This window comes from Homo sapiens, chromosome 7 (genome assembly GCF_000001405.40).
Source record: "Homo sapiens chromosome 7, GRCh38.p14 Primary Assembly".
In the NCBI taxonomy this organism is placed as follows: domain Eukaryota; kingdom Metazoa; phylum Chordata; class Mammalia; order Primates; family Hominidae; genus Homo; species Homo sapiens.
Window position 1 is genome coordinate 308,508 of NC_000007.14, and position 9,520 is coordinate 318,027.

Here is a 9,520-nt window from a genome sequence, read left to right on the forward strand (position 1 = left end):
TACTTGGGAGGCTGAGGCAGGAGAATCGTTTGAATCTGGGAGGTGGAGGTTGCAGTGAGCTGAGATCAGGCCACTGCACGCCAGCCTGGGTGACAGAGTGAGACTCTGTCTCAAAAAAATAAAAAAACAGATAGTAAAGTTAAAAACTTTTCTATAGATAAAGAGTGACATTTCATAATGGTAAGATCTAACAACAAGCTTAACCACATGTCATATACACAGGCCAGTACTCCAGAACATGGAGTCACCATCCTCCCAAATTCACATGAAACATTTGCTAAATTGATCGTACGTTGGGCCATTAAGAAGCCTCAACAAATTTTAACAGATTGTAAAGTATGTTCTCTGAATACAATAAAATTAATCTAAAACTTGATTAAATATAACTAGAAAAACTCCAGCTGCCTGAAAATTAAACAACACATTCCTAAATAGTCCATGATTCAAAGAGGAAATCAAAATGGAAATGATAAAATATTTTGTGGCCGGGTGCAGTGGCTCACGCCTGTAATCCCAGCACTTTGGGAGGCCGAGGTGGGTGGATCACCTGAGGTTGAGAGTTTGAGACCAGCCTGACCAACATGGAGAACCCTATCTCTACTAAAAATACAAATTAGCCAGGCGTGGTGGTGCATGGCTGTAATCCCAGCACTTTGGGAGGCCGAGGTGGGTGGATCACCTGAGGTTGAGAGTTTGAGACCAGCCTGACCAACATGAAGAACCTCATCTCTATTAAAAATACAAATTAGCCGGGTGTGGTGGTGCATGCCTGTAATCCCAGCTTCTCGGGAGGCTGAGGCAGGAGAATTGCTTGAACCTAGGAGGCGGAGGTTGCGGTGAGCCGAGATCACACCATTGCACTCCAGCCTGGTTGACAGAGTGAGACTCTGTCTTAAAAAACAAACAAAAAAAATAGTTCTAAAAGGTAATGAAGATGCACCCAGCCAAACTGTGGGATGCGGCCTAGGCAGCCCTTCGGAGGAGACTTACACCCTTCACGGAACGCAGTAAAAAGAAGAAAGGCAGAAAGATCAACAGTGTAAGGGTCCCTCTTCATCAGAAAAAGAGCAATGAACCAAACCTATGAATAAAAATACTAGAGATGAGAACAGAAAAACAACAAAATATGAAACAAAAGTACAATGGGGAGGCTCAACAAAGATTTTTGAAGATCAATAAAATTCACCGAGGTGTGAGAACCGAAAGCCCGGGCTTCGGGTGGGGATTTCGGCTTCCGCGTGGCCCTGGGTGAAAGTGCAGCCGTGGGATCTTGGTGGAGAGAAACGCTGGGCAGGGAAGAGGGTGGGACAGAAACACGGAAATGCGGGGCCCAGGCCCTGGGGCTGTTTCCACACAAACTGGGTCCCCAAGCCCTTCAATTCATCAAAAGAACCCAAGTCCTCAAGGACAAAGGGAATGTGGACAGCAGTGGCTGGAAAAACCAACTGAGAGCTCAGATGAGAAAGGGGCCATGACGGCTGTCCTCGCATCCCTCCTGAAGGTGCCACAGCCATCGTCTCTGCGAGTCTCCACCCCTTTGCTCTCCTGCTGCCCTGTCCCACGCAGGCAGTGCTCTCAGCGGGGGTGGTTTACCTCCAGGGCAAATTCGGCAAAGTCTGAATATATTTTTGGTTGTCATGACTGAGGGGTTCCCAGTGAGAAAGGGCAAGGATCCCAGCAAACACCCTACAGTCCCCACCACAACGAATAATCCAGCCCTAAATGTCGATAGTCAACAGTGCCAAGGTTGAGAGACCCTGATATGGGTGGTGTGGTGGGGTTTAACCTTTAATTTTTTTTTGTTATTGTTGTTCTGTTTTTTGTTTTTGTTTTTGTTTTTGAGACAGAGTCTTGCTCTGTCACCCAGGCTGGAGTGCAGTGGCGCGATCTCGGCTCACTGCAAGCTCCGCCTCCCGGGTTCACGCCACCCTCCTGCCTCAGCCTCCCGAGTAGCTGGGACTACAGGCGCCCGCCACCACGCCCAGCTAATTTTTTGTATTTTTAGTAGAGACGGGGTTTCACCGTGTTAGCCAGGATGGTCTCGATCTCCTGACCTCATGATCCACCCGCCTCCGCCTCCCAAAGTGCTGGATTACAGGCGTGAGCCACCGCGCCCGGCCTAACCTTTAAATTTTAGGACATTGGTTGTCAACATGGGTTATGACTGGACCAGAAGAAGAGTGAACATTACCCAGAGGCACTGGATGAGGAGGTGGATGTAGTAACTGACGAGGCTTTGCAGGGCTGCTGAGTATAGTTGTACAGGTTGTGTACTGCACAATCAGAAAGTACCACTCACACTGTAGATCCTATAAATGTGTGTATTTTTTGGCCGATTTTCTAGCAGATGGCAGTAAATGGTCTGATTCTAACAACATCAGCATGTACTAAAATTTTCTGATATGCATAAATAAAGCCCCCTGAGGAACCTCAGTTTTCTAATTTTTATTTTTTCTAATTTTCTAATTTGCACATGGGGCCACATGGGCTTCCAGTAGCCCTGAGATGCTGGGCTGCCACGATCAGGCAGAAGGTGAGTGCGTTTTACTCTGTACTAGGAATAATTGGATTATGTGAACTGGGGGTGCAATCGCGTTGCCTGGAAGTTCAGGTTCCTTTGTTGGTTGGGCATCTGAGAGAGGCTGTGGTGAGCGTTCGACATCCCACCAGACACACAGCGTCTCCGAAGGATCTTCTCGCACGTGTACAATTCCCTGCATTGTGATTTCCGACTCTGTGGCAGAAGACATGCAGCAACATCTCTATCACCCTCGTGGCAGGGTGTGGGTGTGTAACGCGGCTCTTCCCAGACCAGGGGCACCAGATGGATTTGTAAGTAATCTCTGTGAGTCTGTAGCCGGGTGCAGAGGGACTGTGGCCAGCTTGCTGGGAATCCAGTGCTTCAGGGACAACTGTGGCAGAACCTCTGGGAACCCGCGCCGTGGTTCTCAACCAAAGATGGCATCTCCTCACCCCGGAAGGCCTTGGGAACGTGCTTGTATTTTTGGTGGTTGTGATGACTTGGGAGTATATTGACAAGCGTTGGGTGTGGACTGAGATGTTAAACACTCAGCAGTAAACGAGACCACCCCCGCCCCCCTCCTGGAGGAGGCAGCCTGGGAGCTGCATCTCAGGGCACAAATAGGGGTTAGCTGAGCTGAGAGGAGGAAAGATGCCCTCCCTAAGCAGAAGGGCTAATGTTTTGTTTTTTAGCAGACAAAGAACAGGGCAGAGAGCAGCTCCGGAGGCTGATAGAGAACTAGCAAGGAAGGCAGGTTTGACTGGGGGAGCTGAGGGTGCCCGGTTCTGGGTGGGGGAGCAGGGTGTGGTCAGGGTCTCTCCAGGCAGAGAGGGAACAAGGCCACTTCTCAAGATGCCAGCCTGCCCTACTGAGAGACACTGTCCAACGTGGCAGGTGCCAGGCAGGGGCGACAGTGAGGCTCCCAGGGAGAAGCCCCCACATCAGGGCTGGGCTTTGTTTCTGGCTGGGCACATTCAGAGTTCAAGTGCCCTGAAGTTTGTTAATAAGTGTTCTCTCTGCTTAATCTTAGCCAGAGTAGCTGCGTTGCTTGCAACCAAGTATCGTGACTGACACAAGTTCCAGCTTGTTCTTATAAACCCCAGATTGCTCACTGTTCTTATTGTTTTATGTAGCAAATACCTGGATAGCTGTTTCCAGATGTTTGCCATTTTCTTCACTCATACTTTGTTCTCAGGTCCCACTCCTTCCTTCTGGGATAGATTTCCTTCTTCCTGAATTAGATCCTTAAGTAGTTATTTCTGTTTGTGGTGATATCTCAGTCTTAGTCTGAAAAGTAATGTCTTCCTCCATCCTTCCCTCCCTCCTTCCCTCCTTCCTTCTCTTTCTTTGTTTCGATTCTAAAACAAGTATTGCGTTATCTCCTGGCATATATTGTGGTTATTTTAAAATTTGCTGTCTATCAATTGATCAGTCCTGACCATTACCATCTCGATATTTCCCACTGACATCTCATTATCAAAATTTCAAGCAGGAAGAATTGCGCAGTGAACAGCCATAGACCCACCACTTAGATTCTGCAACTGTTACCATTTCATTATATTTGCTTTACCACGTGACATGAACCATCTAATCATTCATCAACTTCAAAGTGAGTTGCTAACATCTGCGCAGTGAACAGCCATAGACCCGCCACTTAGATTCTGCAACTGTTACCACTTTGATATACTTGCTTTCTCACATGACATGAATCCATCTAATCTTTTATAAACTTCAAAGTGAGTTGCTCACACTGGTGCGCTTCACCCCTGAATATTTCAGCATGTGTATGACTAACTAGAGCTCGACAGTTGTTTGCAGAGTTTTACTTTTTTAGGTAAACTTTACCCGGAGTGGAATGCAGCCATTGTAAAGGTGCCATATTGTGCATTTGCATAAATGCCTGCAGTCGGTGGTCGGACCTGAAGGAAGAGAAAGACAATTTCCCCGACTCCAGAAAGTTGTCTCCTCAGTCAGCGCCGCGGGCAAACCTGTTCTGATGTTTTTCCCCACAGATGAGTTTTGTGTGTTGTAGAACTTCACACAATAGCTACTTCCTGGGACAGGGCTTTGAGACTTGTCTGGATCTACGCGTGCATCCGTACTCAGTTCCTTTCCATTGCCGAGTAGCGTTTTGCTCATTTATGTTGGCATTTTCTCTTTTTTATATTTGAGTTGTAGGACTTCTTTATACACTCCTGATAAAGTCCTACGGGTTTTGCACAACTTTTTCTCCCAGTCTGTGTCTTGCCGATTTATTTTCTTCATGGAATATTGACAAAAATAATTTTTAATTTGATAAAGTCTGATTTGTCAAAAATTTTTTCTCTGCCTTAAGAAACCTTCCCTATATCCAGGACATAAAGACATTACCCTGCACTTTTGTCTGGAGGCCTTACAGTTTTATATTTTACATTTGGTAATATCTCCACCTAGAATTAAGTTTTGGGTAATGGTGTCAGATAAGTGTCAAAGTTTTTTCCCCATAAAATCATCCTGGCACCGTTCGTTGAAAAGATTTTGTTTCCCCAATGAGATTGTTTTGATGTCTTTGCCGAAATCAATTTCCTATATGTGTGAGGGTCTATTTCTAAACTCTCTGTTCTATTCCATTGATCTATTTGCCTATCTTAACATAAATAGCACGGTATTTATAACTGTACCTTTACAATACATATTGAAATCAGGTACTGAGAGTCTTACAGCTTTTCTTTTTCAAAGTTGTTTGGGCTATTCTAGGTTCTTTGCAATTCCAAATAAATTGTATAATCAGTTTGTCAGTTTATACGAGAAAACCCGCTGGGACTATGATTAGGATTGTGTTGAAGCCATAAATCCGTTGTGGGAAAACTGACATCTTAGCACGTAGCTCAAATTTTTATAGTACTCTAAATGACGTTTTTAAATTTTCCATTTCTGATTATTTCTCAGTATGCAGATATAAAATTAATTTTTCTCTGCTGATTTTATATTTTTCCATCTCACTAAACTCACTTATCAGTTGTAATTGCTTTTTGTCGATTCCGTAAGATTCTCTACCTACAGCCCGTCTTCTGTGAATACAGGTTTACCGTTTCATTTCCAGTCTGGATGCTTTTCACTTATTTTCTTGCTCTACTGCCCTGGCTGGAGCCTCCAGGACCGTGTTGAATAGTAGGAGCAAGAGTAGACATCCTTACCTTGCTCCTGGTCTTAAGAGGGAAGCATTCGATCTTTATACCCGTTATAAAGTTTATAGGCCACAGGTTTTTATACATAGATACCCTTTATCAGGTTGAGCAACTTTCCTTCTATTCCTAGTTTACTGAGAGTTTTTACTGGGAATGGATGTGATATTTTGTCAAATGATTTTTCTGCACTTACTGAGATAATTATAGGGATATTCTTTTCTGCTTTACTAATATGCTTCATTACACTGATTATTTTGCAAATGTTAAATCATCCCTGAATTCCTGGAATAAGCTCCATTTGGCAATTATAGATATACATACATATATGTGTTTTTAGAAACAATGTTTTACTCTGTCATCCGGGCTGGAGTGCAGAGTATGGGGGCACGATCGTAGCTCAGCGTAACCTTGAACTCCTGGGCTCAAGTGTTCCTCCCACCTCAGCCTCCCCAGTAGCTGGGGCTACAGGTTTATGCCACCATGCCTTGTTAATTTTTTTAAAGAATTCTTTTCACACCAGGTCTCCCTGTGTTGCCCAGACTGGTCTCGAACGCCTGGCCTCAAAGTGATCCTCCTGCATCACCTTCCCAAGTAGCTGGGATTACAGGTGTGAGCCTGGCCCGGCTCTAGTAGACTTTTTATATGAGGAGTATTAGCCTTTAGTTTTCTTTTCTTCTTATGACTTTGACCTGTTTGGGTATTAAGGTAACGATGACTTTGTAGAATGAGCTAAGAAGTATTCCCAGCTTTTCAATTTCAAATGGGCCATTTTCAAGCCTTTATTTCTTTAAAAACATTTGCTGCCCCACCCCCTGCCTACTTTCGGGCACCCCAATTATACGTACATTAGTCTCCTTGAAGTGGCTTCTGCGCTCACTGATGCCCTGGTCATTTTCTCACTCTGTGTTTGCCGTGGTTTTACCTTAGATCGTTTCTATTGCTATGGCTGTAAGTCCACTAACCTTTTCTTCCGCAATGTCTCATCTGTTGTTACTATCATTTGTCGGTTTTTCATCTCAGGCATGATCATTTTCATCTCTGGAAGTGCAATTTGTGTTTTTTAATATCTTCCACATAACTACTGAACTTTTGGCGGGGGGCGCATAAAGCACAGTTATAATAAGTGTTTAGTGTCTTTGCCTGCTAATTCTAACACGTATTCAGTCTGGGCTGGTTTAGATTGAATAATTCGTCGTCTCACTCTGGGTCATGTTTTCCTGCTCCTTATGTGTGGTAATCTTTAATTAGATGATAGACATTGTGAATTTTTCTTGGTTGGATTCTGGGTATTTTTATATTTCTATAAATATTCTTGTGCTTTGTTTTGGGAAACTTCTCAGCCAATATCCCTTCAAATATTTCCCTTCCCTATTTTTCCCTGTGAAACCGCAGTTAGACATATTACAGCATTTTAACTGAAGTTACTTGGAAACAGTTTGATCCTGAGCAGGAAAGATCAGTGTTTGGTTTAGGGCCAAACAGTTCCCGCTATGGAAGTGAGACTCCTCTGTGCTCTCTGCCCAGTGAGCCATGAACACACGAGGCTTCCGGTCTGGCTGGTGGGAACAGGCACTATTCCCTTCTCCTGTGTGGGCACCAGGAACTGGTGCCACTAATCCTTTCAGGTGGTTCTCTCTGAAGCCGTGGGTACTCTCCTCACATAAAAATAACGCTGATGAATATTTAGCTGAATATTCAAGCGGCGGGGGTTTCCTCAGCAGATACCAGAACTCGCCTGTGCCCCTCTGCCCTCTCCTTCACTCTGTCCTGTGAACTCTCCCGTCTTAGTTTGTTCTTCCTGAACCCTCAGTTCTGTGTCCAAACTCCAGGAGTCTGCTGGGCTCCCCTGGATTCCGCCTCCCTGAGCCATGTCCTGAGAACGTCTTCAAGGCAGTAAGCCGGGGCGGCTGTAGGGCTCACCTTGCTGTTCCCATCGCTCAGAGATCATTATACTTTGTTACTTGATGTCTCGTTTCTTGAAAGCTCTTGTTTCACATAGTCTGTCTGGTTTGGGTTATTTTAGGTAGAAGGGTAAATCCAGGTCCTGTTACTCCATGTTGGCCAGAAGCAAAGGTCTCCAGCTGCCTTTTTCTAAATCATCTTTGCCTTTAGTTTTCTTCTCTTTCATTACAACGTGCCATGTGAGAATTCATTTTTTTTTTTTTTTTTTTTTGAGACGGAGTCTCACTCTGTCGCCCAGGCTGGAGTGCAGTGGTGCGATCTAGGCTCACTGCAAGCTCCGCCTCCTGGGTTCACACCATTCTCCTGCCTCAGCCTCTGGAGTAGCTGGGACTACAGGCACCTGACACCACGCCCGGCTAATATTTTGTATTTTTAGTAGAGACAGGGTTTCACCATTTTAGCCAGGATGGTCTCGATCTCCTGACCTTGTGATCCACCCGCCTTGGCCTCCCAAAGTGCTGGGATTACAGGCGTGAGCCACTGCACCCGGCCAGAATTCATTTTTATTCAACCTGCTCAGGACTTAGGATTTTGCATCTGGAGATGCATGACTTCCATCAGTCCTGGAAATCTCTCAGCCATTATCTCTTCAAATGTCTCCCTTCCCTGATTTTCCCTGTGGAACTCCAATTAGACACATATTACAACATTGTAATCTTTCAGGTAGATAGATCTGGGAAAGGAGACGTTTAAAGAGATAATGGTTGAGAGATTAACTTCCACAAAGATTAACTTCCAAAACAATAGCTATTTATCTATCTGTCTCAATCTTGGTAATTGATTCAGATCTATCTTATGAACTCTCAGTAGCTGTATCTACATTGTTTTAATTTCAGTGACTGTATTTTTCATTTTTAGGAGATTTTTTGTTGTTGTGGTTCTTTTCCAAATTTGCCTGGTTTTGTTCCATTGTTTGCTGATCTTTACTCATTTTTTAAGATAGCTTCTTTCCATGTTTTTAATTGTTTGACAATTTTTAATGCTGTGTATTTGATGACTCTTTTGTCTGAATTTCTTGAAGACATCGTCTTGCTGCCACACTGCTTTGCATACTTTGCATTTCTTCTTTGCAGGGTGTATAGGTTTCTCCTGTGAGTTCGTGGTCTGTAGTTTTATCTGGAAATCCTGCGTGGCCGCTGTTGAGGGTGTGTCCCCAGGGTGGTTTGCAATTTGCTGTTGAGGGTGTGTCCCCAGAGTGGTTTGCAATTTGCTCCTGCCAGAGGCCCCCAGGGATTTCCAGGCTCATCCCACTTTTCCCCCAGTTCCTCATTTGGGCATTCCCTGGCCTCATGGTGGTGTATTTTCTCAGCCTGACCACACTGCGGGCAGTTTTATTGTTATAATTCTTAGCAGAAACTTTCTTCCCACGAGAGCTCAGACTAAAACAAACAAGCTCCTCTAGCGCCTGGGCTCCATGCGAGGGTCACGGTTCTAACCCCCGGCTTGTGTGAGTCCAAGGTCTCATCTTTTTTCCATTGACGGGCATTGAAGCACAAGCCCGCTCACACACCTCCCGCGGCCGTTTTCAGCTTGGACTTTTCCTAGTTTCTCAAAGCGCAGGTCTGCATTTGAAAGGGATCTGCCATGTTTTGGGATCTTTCTAAGGGATTTACTAAGTGATTAGTCAGACGTCCTTTTGGGGCAGTCCACAGCATTGCTTACACCAGATATAACCCCATTTTACAGGTAAGCAGACTGAGGCCACAAGCCCTCCCCAGTGACACAGGCTAACACGTGCGGAGCCTTGGATGACAAGGAAACTTGCTCTCGTGGAGACAGCAGAGATGCCTCAGTCAACAGCAGGGAGGCAGGACACGCACATTCTGACGGCACACCCTTCCCCGATCTGCACCAGATGAAACGCAGAGAA